The sequence below is a fragment of the Homo sapiens genome, chromosome 1 (genome assembly GCF_000001405.40).
Source record: "Homo sapiens chromosome 1, GRCh38.p14 Primary Assembly".
Classification (NCBI taxonomy): Eukaryota; Metazoa; Chordata; class Mammalia; order Primates; family Hominidae; genus Homo; species Homo sapiens.
In genome coordinates, this window is record NC_000001.11 from 14,885,468 (window position 1) to 14,912,979 (window position 27,512).

General features: G+C 49.3%; 1 protein-coding gene and 1 long non-coding RNA gene across 12 annotated transcripts in view, besides 2 other annotated features; one reads left to right on the top strand and one right to left on the bottom strand.

The window, feature by feature from the left end:
- The window catches only part of KAZN (kazrin, periplakin interacting protein), a 1,225,220-nt gene that overhangs the window by 992,644 nt on the left and 205,064 nt on the right, over window positions 1–27,512 (top strand). The window lies entirely within an intron of this gene.
- Window positions 3,273–26,233, bottom strand: LOC107985469 (uncharacterized). The gene is made up of 3 exons (XR_001737616.2): window positions 25,981–26,233; window positions 4,494–4,557; window positions 3,273–3,401 (listed from the first exon to the last, which is right to left on the bottom strand). It is a non-coding gene; the product is annotated as an uncharacterized LOC107985469 (long non-coding RNA).
- Window positions 8,357–9,357: an enhancer, noted in NCBI's record as "H3K27ac-H3K4me1 hESC enhancer chr1:15220320-15221320 (GRCh37/hg19 assembly coordinates)". NCBI's record gives its function as "activates a minimal SCP1, AML or CMV promoter by ChIP-STARR-seq in naive H9 embryonic stem cells {active_cell/tissue: H9 hESC(naive)}" and the evidence as "EXISTENCE:reporter gene assay evidence [ECO:0000049][PMID:30033119]".
- Window positions 21,543–22,742: an enhancer, noted in NCBI's record as "BRD4-independent group 4 enhancer chr1:15233506-15234705 (GRCh37/hg19 assembly coordinates)". NCBI's record gives its function as "activates an origin of replication core promoter dependent on BRD2, P300/CBP, MED14 and CDK7 cofactors, and independent of BRD4, by STARR-seq in HCT116 cells {active_cell/tissue: HCT116}" and the evidence as "EXISTENCE:reporter gene assay evidence [ECO:0000049][PMID:35650434]".

The window sequence follows — 27,512 nt, forward strand, 5'->3', positions numbered from 1 at the left end:
TGCCTGTAGACTCTGACACTGCACCCTTTATTTCCTTTTTTTATTTTGTTTGTTTGTTTTTGTAGAAATGGGGTCTCACTATGTTGCCCAGGCTGGTCTTGAACTCCTAGGTTCAAGCGATCCTCCCACCTCAGCCTCCCAAAGTGCTATTATTACAGGAGTGAGCCACCGTGCCTGGCCTTATTTTCCTTCATAGAATCAATTAAGCAGTACCGTGTAAGCAAGTCCCAGGTAAGACCCATGTACTTTCTGACTTGTCCCATCCCCGTTGTAGGTATCATGTCTCTTTCCTTCACTGCTCAGCATCTTGTCCTAGTAGGTGCTCTACAATCCTCTTGCAAAGCCCAGCCTCCCTTAGCCATTCTTTGTAACACTCGTCACTACCTGAAATAAATCTATCGATACAGATGAATATATGACTACAGGTTTCTCAACTTCAGATCCATGATGTACATAGCCAGGTCATTCTTTGTCATGGGTACTGTCCTGTGCCCTGTAGGATGTTTAGCAACATTCCTTACCTCTATCCATTAGATGCCAGTAACACCCCCCGCCCCACCCCACAACACCTGCAAATGTGGCAAGCCATAAAGTCTCCAGATATTCCCAAATGCCTTATGGGGTACAAAATTGCTCCCAGTTAAGAATCACTGAAAAAAATACACCTGTGTAGGCCAGACACAGTGGTTCATGCCTGTAATCCCAGCGCTTTGGGAGGATGAGGTGGGAAGACCACTTGAGGCCAGGAGTTCGGGACCGGCCTGGGCAACACAGCCATACCACATCACTACAAAAAGATTAAAAAATCAGCTGGGCATGGTGACATGCACCCGTAGCCCTAGCTACTCAGAAGGCTGATGTGGGAGGATCACTTGAGCCCAGGAGTTCAAGGTTACAGTGAGCTGTGATTGTGCCACTGTACTCCAGCCTGGATGAACGCATGAGGCCTTGTCTCTATACACACACACATACACACACACACACACACACACACACAGAGAGAGACAGAGAGAGAGAGACAGAGACATATAAACACGCATATGGCCAGGCGTGGTGGCTCACGCCTGTAATCCCAGCACTTTGGGAAGCTGAGGCAGGCGGATCACCTGAGGTCAGGAGTTTGAGACCACTCTGACCAACATGGAGAAACCCTGTCTCTACTAAAAATACAAAATTAGCCAGGAGTGGTGGCGCATGCATGTAATCCCAGCTACTCCGGAGGCTGAGGCGGGAGAATCGCTTGAACCCAGGAGGCAGAGGTTGCCATGAGCCAAGATCGTGCCGTTATACTCCAGCCTGGGCAACAAGAGCAAAACTCCATCTCAAAAAAATAAAAATAAACATGCATATGTCTTTACATGTATACCTGTATATGTACACTTACACACACGTGTGTATGTGTCTGAGTGTTTATTTAGTCGTTAAGAGCTCCATAGGACAGGCAGTTTCTTTTGTTTGTTGCTGTGTTTCCAGCACTTCAAAACCATGCCTGGTTCCTAGTAGGTTCTCATAAATACTTGTGAAATGAATAAATAAGTGATCCATCCCCCCACCTACCCCCACGAGTGTGGTTGTGAGGATTAAATGGGATTATTTACTTATTCATTTATTTGTTGCACTTAGCATAGTGCTTGGTATTGGCAGACGATCAATAAATGCTAATGCCCCTTTCCTCCTCTGTTTTCCCATTTCCTTCCTGCTTCCCCTTAACTGCCAAAGACCTGTTTTATTATTTTACCCCCTGTGAACCTCATGTTTCAAAAGATTTTTTTTCCTAAACTGATTAAATAATTATTTATTCTTTTCTCCCTGTGCAATGAAGCAAAGACATGGCTAGCTGTGCAGTAGCATTGCCGTGAAGAACTTGAGGCTCCTTTCGGCATGAGTGCCATGTTCCCAGATGTGGCATGGGCTGCCGCTGAGATCCCAGAAATGCTTATGATGTTACTGACAACCCATTAGGCCTCTGATTGGTGTCAGCAAGCTAGGGGTACCACTGAGCTGATGGAATTCCAGCCCCAAACAAACTTGACATTTCTAGTTTGTCTGCCTACGCAGGGTTATCAGGAGTAAAATAATTATTTCAGTTAAACATTTTTTTAGTGTCTAGGAAAAAACATGCAACCTTCCCTGCAATTTTCCACCCCCAAGACTACCACGAGGAGCCCCAGTTTGGGAACCATCAACCCGTCGTGGTAGTTTTTTTTTTTTTTTTGCGGTCGTGCTCCCAGGGAACCGGAGAAGGGATTTTTCAGGACGCAGCTACTTGATCACTTTTTTCCTTGCTCTCGGTAATGAGCTTTCGGGCCTAATTAGAATGAAATGTGTTGTTTCCCTTCCTTCTTTCTCTGTCTCCATAATGATCTTTATCATTAGGATGGATTAATTTCTCATGCCCCCCTCTCTCTCTCGTTATGTTTCATTGTGGTGTGTTTGCTGTGTGGATGGGGATCGTTAAGGGAACCTCACTAGCACTGTGAATAAATAAAAGAAAGAGAAGGAAAAGTGACAAGGAATGAAAATGGCACCAAATGAGCCTCTTGCTGACAGCCTCTCTCGGTGATAATGGAGAACAGGGAAGCGCCATGCAGCACCATTTGTCCTTCCTCATTGCCACTGCTTTAATGAGAAAGGGAAATCAAGCAATCGGGACATTCCTGTCATCCTCCAGCCCGGGCAGCTCTATTGTGAAGTCCACAGTGAGCGTGCCTCGCCGGAGCGGTGCTTTCAGAGGCTCCCAGGCACAGAGGCCTCTGCCCAGCCCGGCCTCCTTCCTCTCTCATCAGTCTCCCAGCATATGGACATTCTCCCCTCACCTGCTTTTTCTTCCAGTATGTCAGCTGGCCCAAGGCTGGGGTGTCCCCACTCCTTCCAGGGTCGTCTTGTGCACTGGAGTCTCTTCAAAGGGCTTCAGGAAAGAGAGAGGAAGCGAGGGACCCACGAGGTCAGGTAGGAGGCTCCAATCAGCCCTCTACGTGCATTTATCTTCAAAGCTCTTTCCAGCTGCTAAAGAATGAATCCCTTTCAATACACACACTGGAAGGGGGCCACTTCGACCAGATTTTACCCCTCAAATATAGCTTTTTGCGTGACTATTAATTAATTCACGCAAATATAGCTTTTTGCGTGAATTAATTAATTCAGTCTTCCAGGAAAATGACCACCCCCTCTGAGCCCTACCCTGGAAATCCGTGTTGTGATAGAGAGAGAGTGATGTATCAGTTAGGATAGGATCACTTATGCCGCCGTGACAAATGACCCCAACATCTCAATAGCTTTCAACAGCAAGGATTTATTTCTCACTCATACTACATTATCCAGTGCAGCTCAATGGTGGCTCTGCTCGGTGTCATCTCCCCGCCAGGACCCAGGCTGATCAGAAGCCTATATCTAGGACATTGCTGGAGTAAAGAGAAAATAAGTCAAATCACGCACAGACTCTATACAGAGGTGTCCAATCTTTTGGCTCCCCTAGGCCACATTGGAAGAAGAATTGTCTTTGGCCACACATAAAATATACTAACAATAATGATAGCTAATGAGTTTTTAAAAATCGCAAAAACATCTCATAGTGTTTTAAGAAAGTTTACGAATTTGTGTTGGGCTGCATTCAGAGCCATTCCGGGCCGCATGCAGCCTGCGGGCCATGGGTTAGACAAGCTTGCAAAAGCTTCTGCTCAAAGGTTACACACACCAATTCTGTTCTCATTTCATTGACCAGAAAATGTCACAAGCCCACATCTGCCATTGATGGGAGAAAAGTATTATTGTCCCCCAGGAAGGAGCAGAAAATATCTCTGAGAAATAGCAATCTACCACAATGGGCTTGGAGTTTATAATTATTAACAAATAAGAGAACAAAAAGACCTAGGAATTATAAATATATACTAATATAGTCACCTAATGGAAAGTATAAAGCAGTAAAATGGATGCACTATAGCCATATAAAGCATGGGTGCATCTTGGAAATATAATATTGAGTGAAACTCCTTGTACCCAAATCCTTGTCTCAGGCTCTGCTTTGCAGGGGGAGCACAAACTGAGGCAGCTTCTGTGTCTGGTGCTTGTCCAGAGTGTACTTAGCACTCACTGTCTCCTAGGACAGAATTCCCCCTTGGGGTACAGCTCTAATTCTGGAAAAGTCTGCCCCTGCCTACCCTTCCTTCCTTAATTCCTGTCCAGCTTTCTCTTGGCAAACTACAGCCCACAGGCCAAATCCAGCCCACCAACCAAGAATGTTTGTACACTTTTAAATGGTTGAAAAAAATCAGAAGAATGTTTCACGATGTGAAATTTATACAAAATTCAAACTGCAGTGTCCATAAATAAAATGTTACTGGATCACAGCCTTGCCCATGTATTTATGAGCAGTTGGGACAGAGACCATTGAAAATATTTACTTCCTGGCCCTTTGCAGAAAAAGCCTGTCTTACATGACAAAATATGGCAACTAGCAGACTGTGTCGGGTAGTATCATCAGTGAAAAGAAGTACCTCGTACGCTCGAGCCAAACATCAGCCTCTTGAAGAGTTACAATGGGCTTTTTATGTCGTCAACCTGCAGAACACAGGAAGAGTTAGGGAGAAGCCTAGACCCAGGTCAGAATGCAGTTGGAGATGATTCGGGAAGCTTACCACAGGGACCCTGAGGGGGCTTCCCAGAACTTGCTGAACAGTCGCCTTTCCCTTCCCTGCTCTGCGAGTTTGGGTTTTGGGTAAGCAAGTCAAGCCTGGTCAGCTGGAATGCTCTGGCTGGTCAAGGCAATTGAAATTTCTCTTTAATGGAAGATTGAACAAAAAGCTCTTTCTGGATTGCCCCTGGGGAGAGGTTTCTCAGCTGTGTGCAAAGCCCATTTTCCTGATGGGAAATCTCTCCACTGCCCGAGAATGGCACGCAGACCCAGAATCTCCCGGGCACCAGTCCCCACCAGTGGGACATCGTCCCGCTGCAAAAAGTATAGGACAAAGAAACTGAATCTGTCAAACCTGTGACATCCCCTAAAAGCTGAACATTTTTAAAATTCCTGATAGCAAATTTAAATCTTTTTTTTTTCCTTTCTGCCCGCCTTTTAAAAAGATAGAGAAGGTTATTTTTAAAGGCAGGCCATAGATCAGGATTCTGAATGACGGGCGTGAATCAGAGTCCTCTTGTGGGCTTTCTCAGTATACAGACTTCCGGGCCCCACGGCGGATCCACTGATGAATCTCAGAATGGGACCCAAAGATCTGTATTTTTTTTTAATCTAGAGCTGGGGTCTTGCCGTGTTGCCCAGGCAGGTCTCAAACTCCTACGCTCAAGTAATCCTCCCACCTTAGCCTCCCAAAGTGCTGGGATTACAGGTATGAGCCACTGTGCCCAGCCAGGAATCTGGACTTTTTTTTTTTTTTTTTTTTTTTGAAGCAGTCTCGCTCTGTCGCCCAGGCTGGAGTGCAGTAGCCGGATCTCAGCTCACTGCAAGCTCTGCCTCCCGGGTTCACGCCATTCTCCTGCCTCAGCCTCCAGAGTAGCTGGGACTACAGGCACCCGTCACCACGCCCGGCTAACTTTTTTGTATTTTTAGTAGAGATGGAGTTTCACCGTGTTAGCCAGGATGGTCTCGATCTCCTGACCTCGTGATCCACCCGCCTCGGCCTCCCAAAGTGCTGGGATTACAGGTGTGAGCCACCGCGCCTGGCAGGAATCTGTATTTCTAAAAATTTATTGTTTCCATAGGTTTTTGGGGAACGGGCGGTGTCTGGTTACATGAGTACGTTCTTTAGTGGTGATTTGTGAGATTTTGGTGCACCCATCACCATAGCAGTATACGCTGAACCCAATTTGTAGTCTTTTATCCCTCACCCCCTTCCCACCCTTTACCCTGAGTCCCCAGAGTCCATTGTATCATTCTTATGCCTTTGCGTCCTCATAGCTTAGCTCCCACTTATGAGTGAGAACATACAATGTTTGGGTTTCCATTCCTGAGTTACTTCACTTAGAATAATAGTCTCCAATCCCATCCAGGTTGCTGCGAATGCCATTAACTTTCCTTTTTATGGCTGAGTAGTAAGGAATCTGTATTTTAACAAGCTTCCCAGCACTTCCCATGTGTGTGCTGGGCTAAAGCAGTTAAAGACCACTGCTTTAACACTGTATTTATTTACATGGGAAAATGTCCATGGAATACCGTTGAATTGTTTTTTCTAAAAGCAAGTTAGCCTGTGTCATGCTGATTTCTGGAAAATTCTATGTCATTATGTTTCTTTAGGAGAGAAGAAAAGCCAAAAAAGTATTAACGGGGGTAGTGGGATTTTACAGGTGATTTATACTTTTTTTTTCTTTGTACTTTCTCCAACTTGTTTGAATTTTATGCAATGAATAGCTATTTCTTCTAAAATGAAAAAGAAATCTCTGAAGTTATTTCCATGGTTGGGGGTGGGATGGGGCAGTAAGACGTGTCCATGAGCCTCCGTTAGTCGGCTCTGATTATGTGAGGCTTCTTGGTGTCAGGGAGTCTTACATCTGGCCCTGCCTGTTGCTATGACCCAGAAGCTACTGGAAGGTGTCAGGAAAGTTCAACATGCCCCCGTCCCTACCTCCTGCCTCTGGCCTCTGGTGTGGTGCAGACCCCTGAAGTAAATGCCTCCTCAAGGCAGCAGGCAGAGCCCAGATGGGATGGTGACCCTGCCGTCATCTGTGCTCCCATTCCTGGCCCAAATGGAGTCTCAAGGTCTCTAGGGAGCCCAGCCCAGCACCTGCCACAAACACTAAATTCTCTCAGAACTCCAGGAAGAAAACACTCCTGGCAGAAGAGAGTTCAGTCCCTGCCCCGGGGCTCGCCTCCAGCCATCTCTGATGACCCAGGTCCCAAGATGCCCTCCTGTGCCTTCATTATGGGAAGAGAGGCATCTGTCTTTCAGAGGCATCTCTCTCTCTTTTTCCCTCTCTCTCTCCTTTTTCCCCCTCCCCCCTGCTGTCTCTCTTTCTCTCTGTATCCTACAATCCCTGGATCATCTGAAGGCCTGTAATCTCAGGCTTGTTTCCCCCCAGACACCACCATGGAGCTTCTCCCTCCCCTGACAGCCCATGGGAGCCCACCCCACAGGTTTTTCTACAAGGTCTGCAAAGGACAGAGTGGAAGGGAAAGTGCTAGAAGGTTGCAGAGACACCCCAGAAGGTGTCTCCAGAGCAAGCTTTCGAATGACCTCTGTCTGCATCACTGCCCACCACCCCTGCCCATGGCTCAGGGTTCATAGGGGTGTGTGTTCATGTCCTCAGACTTGGGCAGGTGAGCCCAGGACACTTGTGCCACGGGGCTGTGGGGGCCTCCTGCAGGCTCCGGTGGCCTGGGCCCAGGCAAACCAGCCCACTCATCTTGTATCTCCAATACCTACACACACACACACAAAAGCTTCCAGAAGAAAGGAAAAAAGGAATGGACAGAGGAAGGACCAGTCTCCTAAGATTATTCCTCATTCATGCAGTCCTCCACAAATATTTACAAGCACCTACTACGTAGCAGGCACAATTCTAGGTGCTAGGATAGAGTGAACAGAATTAGACTGATTAGACTGGTCCCTACTGTCATAAGGCTGATGATCTACAGGAGGAAGTCAAATAATCATTTTTAAAAGGAAAATAGAGGCCAGTGTGGTGGCTCATGCCTGTAATCCCAGCACTTTGGGAGGCCGAGGCAGGTGGATCATGAGGTCAGGAGTTCGAGACCAACCAGACCAACATGGTGAAACCCTGTCTCTACTAAAAATGCGAAATGTAGCTGGGCGTGGTGGCTCGTGCCTGTAATCCCAGCCACTTGGGAGGCTGAGGCAGAAGAATCTCTGGAGCCCAGGAGGCAGAGGTTTCAGTGAGCAGAGATCGCACCATTGCACTCCAGCCTGGGCAACAGAGCGAGACTTTGTTTCAAAAAAAAAGAAAAAGAAAATAGAAATGGCCCCTGGGAGAGGAGCTCCACAGGAGAGGCAGATGGCCCTTTGACCTGCTCAGAGAAGTAGGTCACGGGGGCTTCTCCAGGGAGCAAAGCCCTTGCTGATGCTGAAAGATGAGTGAGAGGAAGAGCGCTCGCTGAGACCCCCATCTTCCCTTCCTCCACACCCTAACCTTGACTGATGGCCCCCTCGCCTTTACTGCTACTGCTCTCCCTACAGGCTGGGGAAGGAGAGAATTGGAAAATCTCCTTCTGACCATATTGTGTCTGGAGTTTTGTATCACCCTTGGTCTCAGACCCTGAGGCCAGAAAGCCACAAAGGGTCAGAGGTCAGAGTGGGCAGAATCAATCTGTGCCCGCTTCAGCCTATGTTTAAGGTACAAGGATCATTTGAAAAGTCCCTTTCACAAGGGAGGCACCCTCTGAACATAAAAGTCTTGCCCCAGCTCAGGAGCAGACAGACTTGCTTACTGGGACGTCTCAAAACTTGTGCAAATGACAAGTTCATTTTTAGCCGAAAAGAAGACACATCTGAAATATTGATGTGGCAGCCGGAGCCCGGCTCCAGACCCAGCTACAAAGGGAGGTGCTAGTTGATGAAGAGTATAATTAATCAGCACTTAGGGACCTCTGGCTGCTGATTTCAAGCTAACTGTCCCCCAAATCCACTTCTCTGACCCACCAGAGCCCAGGGTGCTGCCACTCAAAGCATCACAGTACGTGAATCTAATTGCAAACCTCCTGCCTGCCATCACGCCCATCTCCCCTGCCCAGCTCTGCCACCATCTCCCCTCCCTAGCTCACCCCCATCTCCCCCGCTCCAGCCTACAGTTTCTGCCGCAGCCTCGCCTGCCTGACCCGACAGATGGCTCCTCCTGCATCCTCCATCCCTGCTTTGCCATTTGCTGTTCCTTCTCCTCCTTCAGCACCTGGCTCACTAACTCCCGCTTTATAACTCACTCCCAATCAGCTGTGCAATCCCAGAAAAATTTCTGAATCACTTTGTGCCTCAGTTTCCCCATTTACAGAAATGGGGAAATGGTAACAGTCCTCACTGTGTTAGGGTCCCTGGGAAGACTGAATGTGTTAGGGACGTCAAGGGTGTAGAGTGCCTCATGGCACGTGACACTTGCCCTGCAGGCGTTAACTGTCGATGTGGCACATCTTTCCAGCTCATCTCAAGCATCACCTCCTCCTGGAGCCTTCCCGGCCTCTCAGTCTGAGTTAGGGTCACTTAATTGCTGATTCGCAGTCCTTGCTAGACTCTAAGCTTCTTGAACCCGAGAATGGCATCATTCATCTCTGCATTCCCAGTGCCTGGAATTGGGTACACAGTAGGTGCTGAGTAAGTGAATGGATGAATGAATGAATGAATGAATCTCCTTGCAGATTTCTCCAGGGTCTGAGATTCTGTGCTATCACACCAAGGACGGGGAAATCAATTCAAAATCTTCTGCATCTTTAATTTGGGCTGAAGAGTGCAGCTCTCTCCTCCCTGCTCCAGGGAGGTAGGTTTGCCGGTCCAGCCAGCCTCATGACTCAGCTGCCCCAGAGGCTTCTCTCTGCCCCAGGGCATACTTAGCCATTTGGCACAGAAGGCACCAAGTCTAGGGCCATGAATATTATGATGCAGCCTGCTCTGCCCAGCAGCACTCAAGGCTGAGTTTTGGAAAGCGAGCCTTGTGGTGACTGAGTAGGAAGTGCCTATAACTGGCCCCTCCCTGGCTTTGCCCTTTGTCCTCCCACTACCTGGCTGGTGGCCATTCCCATCATTTATGCCTTTTTCCCCCAACGTGGGGCAATGGCCAGCCCCAGAATCTCAGCTGCAGCCATGGGGGCTGTCTTTGGCTTTTCCCAGCCCTGGTTCCCCTGGCTCTCCCCTGCCGTGGCTTGCATGCTGGGCACACACTGCAGGATCTGGGCAACTCTGCCAGCCAGGAAACGCAGACCGCCCTTGATTAGCATAAGCAACGTGCTTTCCTTGGCTGAGTCTGGAGCTGTCGCAGCCTAATTAGCAAAGCCGCCAGATCAGCAGGCCCTCTCATTAACAGCGGCCCAATCCCACCCATGTCTCAGCAGCCCAAGCCTCCACAGCCCATCCCTCAGCAGCCTTCCCCTGGGATCACATCAGGGGTCTGGGAGTGAAGGGGACAGCCAAGAAGAGCCAGGCCATGACCTTGTCATCAGCTGATGCGTAACCCAGCAAGGAACTCATCTTCCGGGAGGGTGGAATTTGGGCTAGGGGCCTCTGAAAGTTCATTGCAGGCCTTGTGTCCCAAGTCTTTTCAGCCCCTTCATCATAGAGTGACCCTGTGCTAAGTTCTGCAAAAGATAATCATGCAGGCCGTGATCCCTGGCAGCAGAAAGCTCCGTCCTCTCCCTGGTTCAAGCCACCATGTTCTCTGCCCTGGACTCCTCACTGGTCTCCCCAAGGTGTATAGTTAGGTCAGTTCAGGGTACCCGAGGACAGAGAATAAAAGCAAACAAAGTGAGGAAGAGGGGAGGCTGCTTTCATTTAAGTAGTCAGGAGGGCTTCTCAGAGGAGGTGACACTTTAGCTGAGACTTGGATGACAAGAAAAAGTTGGCCAGGCAACAATCTGAAGTAAAGATATTCCAGGACAAAGGTCAGTAAGTACAAATGAAAAAGACGCCTTTTTTTTTTTTTTTTTTTTTTTTTTTTTTTGGACACAGATTCTTGCTCTGTTGCTAGGCTGGAGTGGAATGGTGCAATCTCTGCTCACTGCAACCTCTGCTTCCCGGGTTCAAGCGATTCTCCTGCCTCAGCCTCCCGAGTAGCTGGGACTACAGGCACACACCACCACGCCCAACTAATTTCTGTATTTTTAGTAGAGACAGGGTTTCACCATGTTGGCCAGGATGGTCTCAATCTCTTGACCTCGTGATCCGCCTGCCTCGGCCTCCCAAAGCACTGGGATTACAGGCGTGAGCCACTGCGCCCAGCCAAAAAAGATGCCTTTTTAAAAGACGATGAAGGAGGCCAGGAGCAGTGGCTTGATTTGTAATATCAGTTCGGGTTTCACACTTTTCAAGCTTTGCTCTTTCACCCTTCAGGAGATGTGTGTGTGCTAGCCAGACAAATGGGACTTTTTTGGTTAAATTGGCTGGAATTGGTTTCTGTTGCTTGCAACTAATAGCTCTAACTGGTACCCTGTCCTTATGACTCATCAGTAGAGAATGGATCTCTGCTGGTGGGGAGCAGGCTGCGGCTGTATCAGGCAAATCCAGGGCAGCCTCAAAACTCCCAGCAGTGGGACAGAAAGCCCATCTTTTCTAGGGCCAAGAGAGGAACTTTGGAAGACACTCCTGAGTGAGAATGCTCCACTCCCTGCTGCCCTACCCCATGACAGTTTCTTGTGATCTGTTGTGATCTGGGTTCTAGAGAGGGAAGAGCAAGAATGTAACATTCTTGTAAGCTATAAAATCAGTTGCAAAAAGGAAGATTTGGGGTGCAAAGAGACCTGGGTTTAGATTCTGACTCTTCCACTTACTAGCACTCACTTAAACTCTCTGGGCCTCAGTTTCTTCATCTGTAAAATGGGGAGAGTAGCAATTTAAATGTTTTCATCTGTAAGTACTAAACACCCAAGCCCAGCTGGCATAAAAAAACAAAGGTGTTTATTAGGTCAAGGAACTGTACTTGCAGATGTAGGTTGACCTAATCACGGCTCTATCTCCTTTCTTGGTGATTCTTTTGGCTCTGCCCTCTTCTGGGTGTCAGCTTCATCCTCAGGCTGAAGTTCTGAACATTATACTTGTTCACAGTGATATCAAAGAAAGGGAAGGAGTTGCATAAGCCAGAGTCCCAGGAAGAACTTCTCCAGCAGCTCAGAGCAAACCACTCCACCCATTGGTGCAAATTGGGTCACATGCCCATGCCCCAACCAATTGCTGTCACCAAGAGAATGACACATGCTGATTGGCCTAGGTCTGAACTCCTGAACCAATCACTGGCAAGGATTATGGGATTATCATGATTGGCTTAAACCAGCAGTTCTCAGACTTTTGTTCCCAGAACCCCTTTACTCTTGTAAAAATTAGAGAGGACCCCAATAAGCTTTGGTTTATGTGAATTATATTTATCAATACTTAACATTTTAGAAATTAAAATGTAAAAGATTAAATATTTATTCATCTTTAAAATAACAATAGTAAGCCCGTTATACATGTTACTATAAATAACATATTTTATGAATAATAATGATACTTTCCAAAGCAAAAAAAAAATAGTGAAAAGAGTGGCATGCTTTTACACTTTTGCAAATCCCTTGAAAGTCTGGCTTCACAGAAAATGGCAGGATTCTCAGACCTGCTTCTGCAATCTGGCCGTTGTGATATGTTATCTTGGTTTGTAGCATATGAAGAAAATCCAGCCTTCTGCAGATGTGTGGTTGGAAGAAGCTGGGACTCACAGACCTCCTGAAAGGCTCTCAGGACCCCAGCAGACCTCACTCAGAACCGCTTGCTGAAACTAACCGGGGCTCACTCAGGAGCTGTCTGGGATCAGACTCTGTGAACTCCATGGCAGCTACAGTTCAGGAAGGGATGCGCAGCTATGGAGGAAACACCCATGGTATCCAGTACAAGGATAATAATTGCTTCCACTTCATAGGGTTTTTGAAAGAACTAAGTGAAATGATGGATATAAGCACCTAACACTGGGCTCAATAAATGGTACCCGGGGGTGAGAAAGGACCACAGGTGAGCACAGTTATAAGCGAGAATCCATTATCCAGATGAACCAACTTCTCAGCTCCTTTCCCCAAGGTTCCTTCCACCCACGCACATTCCATTATGCCATTCTTGCTACATCATTTCACTGAATGTTCATCTCTGGAAGAAAAGACATACCATAATAAGTGCCACAGAAAGGAGAGCAGGGGCAGTGTTCAACAGAGGGGAAGATGAAACAGAACTGTCAAACTCTGGAACACTGAGACGGTTCTGCTCCTCAGAAGAGCAGAAATGTGGTCCTTTCTCAGGAGTGGCTGTGTGGCAAGAGCGAGATACAGTCCTGGCTCCAGAAGGTCAAATCAAAGCATCTGGTGTCTACGTCTGGTCAGCAGATAGGGGTTGGGGTCAGGAAGCTGAAAACTGGATGACATCAGGAAGTCAGGGCAGGACAAGAGAAAGCAAAGGGGGCCTTGGAAGGAGCAAGCAATTTCAGGCCCAAATCAGCACCTCCAGCTTACAGGGAACATCTGGAGCCCTCGCTTGTACACACACATACACAGGGACACACACACAGAGTAGGGTAAGGGGTGCAGGGCTGGAGGGACAGTGTTACTAGTAAGTGGCATGATAGACTGTCTGTGCTGTGGCACAGCTTACAGAACAGTCCCAATTTCAAGACTCTAAGAGGGCGGGACTTATCGCCCCAGCACCTAGCTCAGTGCATAGCTCCTAGCACACTCTGTAGCTACTGGTTGAATGAATGGCCCTCTACCTTGTCCCTATAAACCATCAAAATGTCCCTGAAGTGCCAATATGCCAGCACCCCGATTACCTCTTCCAGATTGCCCCTTGCTCCCAGGACTGGCACAAAAAGCCTGTGAATGACAATGTATTTGGATTTGGGACTCAGCTCTGCTGTGGAGATCAGGAGATGCAGGTTCTAGTCCCATCTCTGCACTAGATCACTATGTCATTCAGGACTTGACATGTTCCCTCTTGGAGACTCAAGTCTACCACCTGTGAGTCATAAGAAGGGGCCCCTGAGCAGATGTGTTGAATGAAGGGCTCAGGGACCCAACAACCCTGTACCAAGGTCAGGAAGATGGAATGTTCCGCTAAGTCAAGTTCACTGGCATGACCAGAAAGGCAAGTTGCCAACTGAGGATGAGGGTGCCTGGAGACTTTGGGGCATGGCCACACCCAGTGACGTGTCCCCTCTGGGCCCTCATTACCCTTTTGTAGACTGTCCTCACCTCTCTTCAGCCTCTGACCTGATATAGGGTAAAACCTTTTCCCAGGGTTTTAAGATAGCTGCTGCCGGGACCTGAGACCTGTGAACTTGGGTCTGAGCCATGAACCTGTCCCAGGTTCAAACTCCTTTTTCCAGATGCGAAATTTAGGAGGCAAAGAGAAAGGGAAGGAATGGTTACTGAGCACCTAGAAATGCCAAGCCTCTGTTAGACATTTTGTCTGCATATCTGACTTCCTATCCGTATGGTAGACATCAATGTCCCAAGAAAGTTGAAAGAAAAGTGCAGTATTCTAGCCAAGATCATGAGGCCCGGATTTAAATCTTTCCTCTCCTGTCCATTCCCCTCCCCAGGTCCCACCTCCCTAGCTCCCTCCTCCCTCTGTCCACCACTCCTCTCTCCTTCCCTCCCTATGGGTTCCTGTAAGGCACCCAAGATGCCACTGCCACCTCCGCTCCCTCGGGGGATGTGAGCAACCGTCTTAAGCACTGTCCTCATTTCAGTCTCCCTTCGTAACTCTGCGTTTTTGCTCTGGGCATTCAGAGTGGCAGGTTCCTATCGCCCTCTCTCCTCTGCCAATGAAAGCTGGCGCATAATCCTGCTTCCTGCCCACCCCCTCCATCTTCTCAAGTAATGTCTGTCGTCCCGCATTCTTCTTCCCGTTCCGGCCCTGTGGCTGCTTTCAAAGCAGATCCTTGGGACTCAGGCCAAGTTCATCAGGAGGGCCTGGAATGGCCCAGGAGGCAGAACCTGGTGACCTGTGTATCCCAGGGCTCAATGCTGTCTGCTCACCCCGATGGCTATGACATGGGGTTTGTGAAGATGGGGTAGCTGCTGAGAGAAGCGAACAGCCTCAAAGACCCCAGGGCCAATGTTCTGATTCCCGCTCAGAACTACTTCTTAGGGAGCCATCATCACCTGCCTGGAGCCCTGCTTTCAAGCTGCCCTGGGAGATGTCTTGTGTTTTTCAGATGCTTGCCAAGAGAGGGGTGAGAGCCCTGGCTGTGCAGTCACCTCTGCCAATTTGCAGAGTTGAAGCCAGTCAGTGCCTCCATTTCACCATCTGTAAAATGGGCACAAGAGTGGTAATGACCCCATAGGGTCATCAGAAGGATCGTATGCCTGTAAAGAGCTATGGTTGGCCGGGCGCAGTGGCTCACACCTGTAATCCCAGCACTTTGGGAGGCCGAGGCGGGTGGATCATGAGGTCAGGAGATCGAGACCATTCTGGTTAACACGGTGAAACTCTGTCTCTACTAAAAAATAGAAAAAATTAGCCAGGTGTGGTGGCAGGCACCTGTAGTCCCAACTACTCGGGAGGCTGAGGCAGGAGAATGGCAAGAACCCAGGAGGCAGAGGTTGCAGTGAGCCGAGATCGCGCCACTGCACTCCAGCCTGGGCGACAGAGCAAGACTCCATCTCAAAAAAAAAAAAAAAGAGCTATGATCTCACCCACAGAAAGGACCTAGCAAGTGGGTGCAGCTACTACTGTGGTCACCAGGAGGAGAGGGATGCTGGCATGGCTGGTCCAGGGAATGAAGTCTCCTTACCCAGATCCCTGTGATTCCAGGGTTGGATATGATGCCCACTTGGGTATGTTGCATAAACTCTCTGTCCGCACACTTATTTGTCCAACAAATAAATGAGCATTTACTCTGTGCCAGGCACTGTCCCAATGGCCATCATACAGCGGTAACAGGACAGAGATGGCCCCTGTCCTCAGGGAGCTTACTGTGTGGTAGGGAGAGACATCCGTGAGCATTTAACAAATGATCTCAGGGAAGCATCAGTGCTATGACAAAAACTGGTCGGGGACAACTGGGGGAAGGCTTCAGAGAAGGTGCTGGGGAAGGTCCCCTGGAGAGCTGGCACCTGACGTAGACCTGAATGGCATCTGTCGGACGGGGAAAGAGCTCTCCAGGTAGAAGGTGCAGCAGGTGACAAGTCCCCAAGGTGGGAAGCAGCTTAGCTTAGTTACGGGATAACAAGAAGCCCAGTGGAGATGAGTGAGTGAAATCGAAAATAAGAAAGGATGGAGTAGGGGTGGTGGGAGGCAGGGGACAGATGATGCTGTTTATGCCACATCCAGGAGTTCAGATTTTATCCACCGAGCAATGGGAAGCCAGTGGAGGACCCCAGGCAGGGGAGTCACATGGTCTGAGTGCTGATAAGTCTGGCTGTTGGGTGGAGAATGGGCAGGGAGTCAGATGGGGGTGGAGAGGCCAGCAGGAGGCTGCTGTGATCGTCCAGGGGAGAGATAATGGCAGCTCAGACGAGGGTGGCAGCAGTTGAGGTGGTGAGAAGCCCTGGAATTCCAGATACTTTTTGGAGGTAAAACAGACAGGATTTGCTAGCAGATGGGTCCATCCAGGTCACATCCCCAAAACAGCCATTGTGGGAGAAGCTCCCGGACAGCCTGGCGTCCAAGGTCAAGGTTCAAAGGGTTGTTACATCTCTGCCCCCACAGCTGCCTCTCTCTGGGGCGGCCAGGGTTCCGCCTCTGTCTTTCTCCCAGAAGCCAAGGGTCAGATGCTGATATATTTGGGGAAATATACATGAAATACAACGAAGCTCTCAGGAGGTGGTCCTGAAGCCACCTCTCTTGAGTGCTGCAAGGGCCTCCAGCAGTGGCAGGCAATTTCTGCTAATAAAACTGGTAAAGGCAACTTATGCAGATGTGTATGCAGACACAGAGATGGCCAACCCACCGGGCACGTTAAAGACACAGGCACCTAGCGAGGTGGGAGGCCCCCAGGAGTCCCGTGCTAACACAGTTCCGTGCACGCACTTGAAAACGCTGCTTATGCAAGGGTGCTGGGAGCAGATGAGGATTTAAGACATGCTTTGATGGACATAAATTTATAGACTAGAAAATCCGAAGTTCTGAGAACTGCAATTTTTTTTTTTTTTTTAAGATGGAGTCTCGCTCTGTCACCCAGGCTGGAGTGCAGTGGCTCGATCTCGGCTCACAGCAAGCTCCGCCTCCCGGGTTCACGCCATTCTCCTGCCTCAGCTTCCTGAGTAGCTGGGACTATAGGCACCCGCCACCACACCCGGCTAATTTTTTTGTATTTTTTTAGTAGAGACGGGGTTTCACCGTGTTAGCCAGGATGGTCTTGATCTCCTGACCTCGTGATCCACCTGCCTCGGCCTCCCAAAGTGCTAGAATTACAGGCGTGAGCCACCGCGCCCAGCCAGAACTGCAATTTTTTTAAATCTTCCATGGTGTTTCCAAGGGGAGGCTAATATTCAGCTAGAGCCAGAAAAATACAGTTCCTTTTACCAGCTTTACAGACATTTTGGAAAGTGGCATCATTAAGTCCATGTGAATACAGCAAAAGTTCTGGTACCAAACTCAGTGAGAGGGGTGGGAGCTGCCAGGGCTGCCCACCCAGAATAAAAGGTGTGGACAGGTGGACAGGTAGGCCCTCTGAGCAGTGAATGTCCTGCTTTTTGAGGGGAGGGAGGATTTAGAAAATTGAGGCAATTGTCCTTGTAGACACATAGTATAAATAATCTTTTGTTCCTCCTTCCTTTCCTTTTTTTTTTTTTTTAAGATGGAGTTTTGCTCTTGTCACCCAAGCTGGAGTGCATGTCATGATCTTGGGTCACTGCAACCTCCACCTCCCAGGTTCAAGCAATTCTCCTGCCTCAGCCTCCTGAAGTAGCTGGAATTACAGGCACCTGCCACCACGCCCAGCTAATTTTTGTATTTTTAGTAGAGATGGAGTTTCACCATGTTGGCCAGGCTGGTCTCAAACTCCTGACCTCAAGTGATCCACCCGCCTCCACCTCCCACAGTGCTGGGATTACAGGTGTGAGCCACCACACCTGGCCGCCTCTTATTTCTGTGGTGGTCTCTCTGATCACCCACTTAGGATGCCAAGTATAGGGAAGGCAAGAAAAAAATTGCTGATAGCGTCTCCATGCTTGTAAACCCAAACACAGGACCCAAACTACGTTTCAAGAAAGAGGTTGTGAAGTGGCCCGCTTTGAGCAGTGTCCCTGGGGCCGGTCAAGCCTCAGCCACAAGTGCCAATTTCACTTTCGTCCCAGCCTTTCAGGTGGGCACACTGGGGCCCTGGCAGCAGAGCGGGCCATCTGTGCCACTTCCCTCTGTCCTGGGGTACTCTTCCTTTAGCCAGAGGGGGCACACTTTGCCATTGGGCACTCAGAGGATCCGGGGAGAGGGCTGGACCCCTCCTCCTTAGTACATTTGCCAGATGGGCAGAGGAGGCCGAGAATGTAAGGCCGGGGTCTGCTTTGTTGTTTCCTTGTGGCTAAAGATAGGGATGATGTGAGAATCTATTTGCTGTAATGAAAGACAAGCTCACCACACTCTCCACCATCCCTGGGTACAGGCTTTGCAAAGAGTGGCCTTGCTTTAAAATCAATTTTAAAACATAATAGAGACCACAATTTAATTTTTAAAGTCGCGATCCCATTAATCTAACCTTAGTAGGTTACATGTATTGAATGCTAACTCTGGCAGATGGTGTTCTAAGTGCTTTTACATGTATTTGCTCACTTAACCCTATAAGGGAGCAGCATGATTGTTCCATTTTGCAGAGGAGACAAATAAAGCCCCAGGATGAGAAGCAGACTGCGGAAGGCCAGACAGCGAGGGCAGCATTCTGTCTTAATCTCCCCTTGCTTCCAGTGCCTGGCACCAGCAGGCAGCCAGTGAATGTGTAGACCAGGGGACGTTCACTGGTCAACGGGTTGGTTAGTCACCTGATTAGCTAGTTGGCCTAGAGGCTCAGTCTTGAGTTAGCAGACTCACGTTCCAACCTCAGCTCAGCCACTTCCTAGTTGTATGGCCTGTTATGGAAATTCTTTCCTTCCCACGTGCCTCAATTTTCCTTATTCATGCAATGGGTTTAAGAATTGCCTCACTTGGGAGGCGGAGTTTGCAGTGAGCCGAGATAGCGCCACTGCAGTCCGGCCTGGGCGAAAGAGCGAGACTCCGTCTCAAAAGAAAAAAAAAAAAAAAAAGAATTGCCTCACTTTGCAGGGTTTGGATTGTGAATTAGAGGAGACCAACGCCTATAAAAATCTGGCACATGGTAGATGCCTAATAAATGCTTGTTGCAATGCTGAGTTCTAGCTGCAGGTACAGCTTTGCTACCCAGTTCCAAACAAGAGACACCCCAGCTGCCACATGGACGTCAGCTTGTAAGATGCGGGACGTCCCCCTGTATGTGCCACTGCAGATGTCTGCACGCACTCCAGGCAGCAGCACAGACAGGCCCGTGCGCCACATGTCAGATTCCCGACTAGAGAAGCCAGTGCTCAGGTCTCACCACCAGGTACAAACTGAGTCATTTCCCACCCATCTGGAATAACGGCATCTTCCTCCATGTGCCACTGGCCCCAAAGCCTGCTCTTCTCTGTGGGGCAGGAAATGCACTTTGGTGTTTTTGTTTCTGTTTTTGTTTTTGTTTTTTTGAGATGGAGTCTCGCTGTGTCACCCAGGCTGGGATGCAGTGGTGCGATCTCCACTCACTGCAAGCTCCGCCACTCGGGTTCACACCATTCTCCTGCCTCCGCCTCCCAAGTAGCTGGAACTACAGGCGCTGGCCACCACACCTGGCTAATTTTTTGTATTTTTAGTAGAGATGGGGTTTCACGGTGTTAGCCAGGATGGTCTCAATCTCCTGACCTCGTGATCCGCCCACCTCGGCCTCCCAAAGTGCTGGGATTACAGGCGTGAGCCACCATGCCCAGCCTTGTTTTTGTTTTTTTGAGACAGAGTCTCGCTCCTTCGCCCAGGCTGGAGTGCAGTGGCGTGATCTTGGCTCCCTGCAACCTCTGCCTTCTGGGTTCAAGCAATTCTCCTGTCTCAGCCTCCTGAGTAGCTGGGACTACAGGCACACACCACATGCTTGGCTAATGTTTTGTATTTTGAGTAGAAATGGGGTTTCACCATAATGGCCAGGCTGGTCTCAAACTCCTGGCCTCAAGTGATCTATCTGCCTGCTTCTGCTGCCAAAGTGCTGGAATAACAGGCGTGATCTACTGCGCCTGGACAGGAAATGCTCTTGGGCTAGAAAAACTCCTGCTGGCTTGTCTTGCTGCCACCTGCAAATGGGACGCAGTCACAAAGGCCTGCACTGGAAAAAGGTCCCCCAGGCCTGCATCTGGCACATCCTCCCAAGGTCTCCTAACCAAACAGTAATGAGGATGAACCAAATATTTCATGCAAATAGTTCAGTAAAAATAATACAGCACAGGCTGGGTGCAGTGGCTCACGCCTATAATCCCAGCACTTTGGGAGGCTGAGGAGGGCGGATCACAAGGTCAGGAGATCGAGACCATCCTGGCCAACATGGTGAAAACCCGTCTCTACCAAAAATACAAAAATTAGCTGGGCATGGTGGCACGTGCCTGTAATCCCGGCTACTCGGGAGGCTGAGGCAGGAGAATGGCGTGAACATGGGAGGGGAGCTTGCAGTGAGCCGAGATGGCACCACTGCACTCCAGCCTGGGCGAGACTGTGAGACTCCGTCTCAAAAATAATAATAATAATAATAATAATAATAATGATACAGCACAGGCCGGACACGGTGGCTCATGCCTGTAATCACAGCACTTTGGGAGGCCAAGGAGGGCGGATCACGAGGTCAGGAGATCGAGGCCATCCTGGCCAACACGGTGAGACCCCGTCTCTACTAAAAATACAAAAATTAGCTGGGTATGGTGGCACATGCCTGTAATCCCAGCTACTCGGGAAGCTGAGGCAGGAAAATCACTTGAACCCGGTAGGCGGGGCTTGCAGTGAGCCAAGATCATGCCACTGCACTCCAACCTGGCCACAGATCGAGACTCCATCTCAAAAAATATATTATAATAATAATAATAATAATAATAATAATAATAATAATAATACAGCACATGGATCCAGCCTGTGAACTCCCCAGAGGAACTTGGATGTGAACAGCAGACAATTTCACAGTCCACATGGTTGCCCTCAAAGTATGCTAGGTGTTTTCTTTCTCGCCCTCTCTTGCCTGAACAGGGTGACCTTTCCAAAAATCACGTGGAGTTGCTTAAATGAATGTTAAAACTCATTCTCATTCCTTGACTTGGTGGCGGGCATGGAACAGGAGCTTGCTGGGTCATGAGAGGAAGTTAGCCTGGGAATCGAGCTGAGGTGTGGCTGTGACTTGGGGACGCAGCCTCATGCGGAGCGAGTTCACTGTAAAGTTTATTTTACTTTCTGCCCCATAAAAAGAAAATGTGTAAAAGGGGCACGTTGATATTTTTTCAATATCACAAAACATATAAAGGGAATTTTTTAGAAAAGCACAAATGATCTGTTGAAATAAGCAAGTTAGTTTCAGGATTAAAAAATAACATTGTTTCACCACCTTATCTATGGTCCCATATTTTTCTAGAGATCAAGCTGGCCATCCTAGATACTTATCATTGAGGGGAGGTGGGGGAAAAAAACCACCCCCAGGCTACACAGAAGATGTGGGTCAAATTATTCAATTTGGCGGGCCCTCTGATGAATTCTGTTGGGTCCACACCCGCTCCCCGCCTTGTTCCCTAGGGCTGAGATTTACAAATGCTGAGATGAGTACAAAGAAGCTTTTGCACTGGAGCAGTGTTTTGTCCCTGGGGGAAGAATGACCCCCAGGATGTGTCCTCTGACCTCGCTACTCAGGGCATGGTGGCGGGTACTCAAGAGTGGACCAAGACCAGCAGCATCAGCAACTCCTCGGAGTTTATTAGAAGTGCAAGTGCACTTCTAATAAACTTATTTGTACGATTATTAGAAGCTAGATGCAGTGGCTCATACCTGTAATCCCAGCACTTTGGGAGGCCGAGGCTGGTGGATCACTTGAGGTCAGGAGTTCGAGACCAGCCTGTGCAACATGGTGAAACCCCATCTCTACCAAAAAAAATACAAAAACAATTAGCAGGGCATGGTGGTGCACGCTTGTAGTCCCAGCTACTCAGGAGGCTGCGGTGGGAAGATTGCTTGAACCCAGGAGATGGAGGTTGCAGTGAGCTGCGATTGCACCACTGCACTCCAGCCTGAGCAACAGAGTGAGACCCTGTCTCAAAAAAAAAAAAAAAACAAAAAGTGCAGAATCTCAGACCCCACCCCAGACCTCAGGCATCAGAATCTGCATTTTAACAAGATCTCCAGGAGATGATTGTGTTCAGTAGAGCTTGAGACGCCTTCTGAAATAGTGCCCGAAGACCCTTGGATGCCTAAGAGGGCCAATTGAGTTTGCAAAAAGCTCAGGGTACAAAGACGAGGGCATGATGACTCTGCCCGGGCATGTCCTGAGCTGCTTCCGGAAAGAAGTCTCCTCTGAGCTGGGTTAGAAGGAAAAGAAAGAAGGGTTTCATGAAGATGGAAAGGAGAATATTCCTGGCAGGGGGGTGGACAGAGTAAGGAAAGTCATGGAGCTGTTGAAGGAGCATGATGGGGGATGGCAATTGGGGTCTCAGGAAAGGCAAGTGGGAGGTGGATCCCCGCTCAGCTCTCATCCCAGTGGAAGGGCACCCCTCCTCCAACCCTTCTCTCCCCAGAGCCCATGAGCCCACGAGGGAAAATCCCTGGCTCCCTGTTTCATTAGGGCCATGAGTTGGACTTTGCTATGCCAACCCAGACTGGGGCTCCATGAGATAGGTCATAGCTTCTGAGCACTAACTCTGTGCCAGCATCATGCCGGGCACTTCACCTACTTTCCTTTGTGTATTCTTGAGGACAAGCCAAGAGGCGGTTCTAGAGAGGATGAAGAGCAGAGCCATCAAAAGCATGTAGGGTCAGCGGCACGGTGGCTCACACCTGTAATGCCAGCACTTTGGGAGGCTGAGGCAGGAGGATCGCTTGAGGCCAGGAGTTCAAGACCAGCCTGGGCAACATAGCAAGACCCCTATCTGTACAAAAAATAAAAATAAGAAAAATTGGCTGGGCACAGTGGCTCATGCCTGTAATCCCAGCACTTTGGGAGGCTGAGGCAGGTGGATCATTTGAGGTCAGGAGTTCAAGATGAGCCTGGCCAACATGGTGAAACCTCATCTCTACTAAAAATACAAACATTAACCAGGCAGTAGTGGCAGGGGCCTGTAATCCCAGCTCCTCGGGAGGCTGAGGCAGGAGAATCGCTTGAGCCTGGAAGGCAGAGGTTGCGGTGAGCTGAGATCACGCCACTGCACTCCAGTCTGAGCGACAGAGTGAAACCCTGTTTCAAAAACAAAAAGAAAGAAACAAGAAGAAAAATTACCTGGGTGTGGAGGCATGTGACTCCCAGCTACTCAGGAGGCTGAGGTGGGAGGATTGCTTGAGGCTGGGAGGTTGAGGCTGCAGTGAACCCTATTCATGCCACTCCTCTCCAGTCTGGGTGACAGAGACCAGACCCTGGCTCAAAAAGAACATGTGGGTCCGGGCATGGTGGCTCACGCCTGTAATCCCAGCACTTTGAGAGGCCGAGGCAGGTAGGTCACGTGAGGTCAGGAATTCAAGACCACCCTGGTCAACATGGTGAAACCCCATCTCTACTAAATATGCAAAAATTAGCCAGGTGTGGTGGCAGGCGCCTGTAATCCCAGCTACTTGGGAGGCTGAGGTTGCAGTGAGCTGAGATCACACCACTGCATTCCAGCCTGGGTGACAGGGCGAGACTCCATCTCAAAAAAAAAAAGAGCATGTGGACTGGAGCCAGAACACCTGGTCCAGATACCGTCATCATCTCACATCATCTCAACAGCAGTGTCCTCGGGAACATTAAAAGGGATTTTCCTACCCATATCCCGAAGTTTCCTCTTCCATAAAAAGGACATAAAACAGTAATAGTATATACTTTCGTAGAGTTGCAGTGATAATTAAATATATCCCATAGGGTTTGGCGGCACATGGTAAGCGCTATACATGAGAGTTATTATTCTTACTGATCCCCATTGAACAGATGGGGAAAGTGAGGCTCTGAGCATTTAAGTGCCTTCTTCAGGCTCACACAGTTAACTATACTCTACTATCTTGGCAAGGATTCCCCATGGCCTCTGCCCTCTCTCTCCACTTAGCTTGTCTTGGAGACCCCTTAACAGTGTGCTGCAATCTCCGCCTCCGACATCAGGCCCCTCTGCCTCCCACCAATTTCCTCCCACCTAACTCGTAACATCTCATCTTGGCTGTGTGCCTGAGTCTGTTACTGCCTCCAGAGTTAGGCCGTTTCCTCTGCCCACAGTGCCCACCTGCCCATCTCTGCTGATCTAGATTGCATCTTTCAAAGCCAGGGCCAAATAACACTCTTGCCCCAGAGACTCTGCAGTGCACCCCAGAGTGCCCTGCTCTTCAACTGGCCACCTCCAGAGCACCTGGCGGGCCAGGGCCATGTTGTGGACAACTTGACTTTCTCCCATCCTTCCAACCACAGTGCTTTGTATGCAGTTGGTGCTTTCATAAATGCATGATGGCCAGGCTTGGTGCTTATGCCTGTTTAACCATCACTTTGGGAAGCTGAGGCAGGCGGATCACCTGAGCTCAGGAGTTCAGGAGTTCGAGATCAGCGTGGGCAACATGGCGAAACCCCATCTCTACTAAAAGTACAAAAGTTAGCCAGGCACGGTGGCGTGTGCTTGTAGTCCCAGCTACTCGGGAGGCTGAGACAAGAGAATCGCTTGCACCTGGGAGGCGGAGGTTATAGTGAGCCGAGACACTGTTGCACTTCCTGCTTGGGCGACAGAGTAAGACCTTGTCTCAATAAATAAATAATGAATGAATGAATGAATGAATGAATGAATGCCTGGCCCTGCCCTAATTACAACCAATTAGCCCCTGGCTCTCCAGAAGGCTCTGGGATATCTGTGGCCTGTGGATCTCCTGACTGGCTGCTCTTCTCCCTCCTAACATTCATTCCTGACCTTTAGCCATGAGTGGCTGTCATGAGATCTGTTTTCCCAGGAGTGCGAGTGAGCGCTCCATATCCATCACAATGACAGAAAAGGACTTGATGTGCAGGGCTGGGCCTTCCCCCATGTGGGTGCCCTACCAACTCCTCCGTCTCAGGATCCGGTTCCTGGCCTGGGGCCCTTGGTGTCTCTTGATTCAGCCCAGGGTTTCTCACCCTCAACACTGCTGACTCTTGACACCAGATAATTCTTTGCTGTAGGAGGTCATTCTGTGCACCCACTAGATGCCAGGAGCAGTCCCCACCTCCCCAGTGTGACCAAAAAAATGTCTCCAGATATGCCAAATGTTTCCTAGGTGTGGGGGGCAAAATTGCCCTCTGGTTGCAAACCACTGCTATCTGGAGTTTTGCCCAGGATAACCAGGAAGGGAGGAACTATGGCTCCAGCACAGAGACGCTGCAGAGGAGGGCTCAAAATCCCCAAACCTACATACAAGAGATCCCAGAAACAGTGAAGATGGCCGGCATGCTGAGCAAGAGGGGGCTTACCTAGCTCCTGCCAGTCGTGGCCAGGCAGAAATTGTGGTCCACCTTTTGGTGGATCCCAAGGCTTTCAAGAAAAGTCAGAAATCCTATCTTTTAAGTGAAATTTTCTGATTCTTAAATGTCGGCAACTAATGTGAATTGTTTAAAAAAACACTGTGGGAAAAACAAAATATGTCTGTGAGCCAAATGTGGGCTACTGGCTGCAAGTTTTGCAACCTTTCCTATAGACCAAGCTTCCATCCCGGAGGCATGGGCAGCTCACACCACTCCTGAGCCCGCACAGTGCAGCAGTTTGAATCTGAGGCACCGTGAACAAGCTCCATGCCAGGCCTCTGAACCAGACAGACAGGCCCTGCCCATGTTGGCCACTTCAAGTCCCTTCTGAGGTCCAATGCCAAGAAATGAAAGGTTCTAAATTCCGAGGGAGAGAGAATATAGGAAACACCCCAGGACAGAGGTCAGGAAGCCTGAACCCTTGCCCAGCTCTGTACTGATTTGCTGTGGGCCTAAGCAATCACGTTCCCTCTCTAGGCTTCAGTTTCTCCCTCTGTTGAATGTTTGTAGGATGATGAAAGAGAAGTGAGATTGAATTCATGCTCTCTATGTCCCTGGGACTTGAAAGAGCGAGCACTTCCTGTTGGCAGTCCAGGGCCCCAGCTAGCTTGCCCAGTGCCCAGGGGGCATCCTTGTCCTTAGACTGACCTGGGCAGGGAAACGCTGGCTCCACCTCCCAGCTCCGGCATCCTGCATTTCCGAGTGGGAAGTTTGGGTGGTCCCTGATGGACTCCTCCTCTGTGCAATGAGGTCATTAGGCGCCGGAAGCTGCTTCAGGTATGGAACCCACACCCTGTCACTGGGAGAGCCCACACCCTTGGCCCCTGCTGGCACTGATGGTGCAGCTCTGGAACGGTTCCCTAGCTAGGAGGTGCCCAGGGCCACAGGATGGCTCAGTGGGCAAGCCTGTACCTGACTGGTCTGGAATCCCTAGGACAGTTTCCCAGTGGGCTCTGCAGCTGGGAGGAGTCTTGCTGGAGATGATAGGAGTAGATGGGCTCTGGAAGATTGTTCTATCTAAGACCCTAATTTATACATGGGAAAACTGAAGCCATGAAAGGGAAAAGCCTCGGCCAGGCACGGTGGCTCACGCCTGTAATCCAGCACTTTGGGAGGCCGAGGCAGGTAGATCACCTGAGGTCAGGAGTTTGAGACCAGCCTGTCCAATATGATGGCACGTTATCTCTACTAAAAATACAAAAAATAGCTGGGTGTGGTGACGGGCACCTGTAATCCCAGCTACTTGGGAGGCTGAGGCAGGAGAATCACTTGAACCTGGGAGGCAGAGGTTGCAGTGATCACACAACTGCACTCCAGCCTGGGTAACAGAGAGAGACTCCACCTCAAAAAAAAAAAAAAAAAAAAAAAGGAAAGGAAAAGGGTCTTCCCAGGGCCACCCAGCCAACAGAACAAGCATCCACATCTCCTGACTCCCCGTCCAGTGCTCCTTCTAATCTGCCACATTGGGGTCTCCCAGTAGTGGGGACTGGTGAGATAACAGACAGAAAGATGGACAGACCCAGGACATTGCCTTTCACTAATTGTGCCTGGAGCAGCCAGGGAGGTCACATACCTGGGTAAGGTAGCCAGAAGTAAGACAGTAGGGAGTGGAGGGGACCTACCACAGTGGGGGATGAGAGGATACGCTGTCACCATGTGGGATGGAATGGGGGTTTGATAATACCTCCCTCCCACCTCAGCCTCCCGAGTAGCTGAAATTACAGGTGCACGCCACCATGCCCAGCTAATTTTCATATTTTTTGTAGAGACAGGGTTTCACCATGTTGCCCAGGCTGGTCTCCAACTCCGGGGCTCAAGCAATCCTCCTGCCTTGGCCTCCCAAAGTGCTGGGATTATAGATGTGAACCACCATGCCCAGCCTAATTTTTTCAAAAAGGCCAGGTGGAAACTAAAAATCTGAACTTTTGGTGTAAGTTATCCTAATGTTAAAATGTTGGCATCCGGTTTAAAAAAATTTTTTTACTGGAGTACTAAAAAAAGAAACCACATTCACAGGCCAGATGCGGCTCCAAGGGCCACCAGAATGCAAGTCCTACTTCTCTCTTTTACCCTCGGTTTACTCCGTTTTAAAATGGGTATAAGAACAAAGCCCTTCTCTCATAGGGCAGGTGGGGGATGAAACGAGCCAATGCCAGTCATACTGACTGGCCCACAGTAAA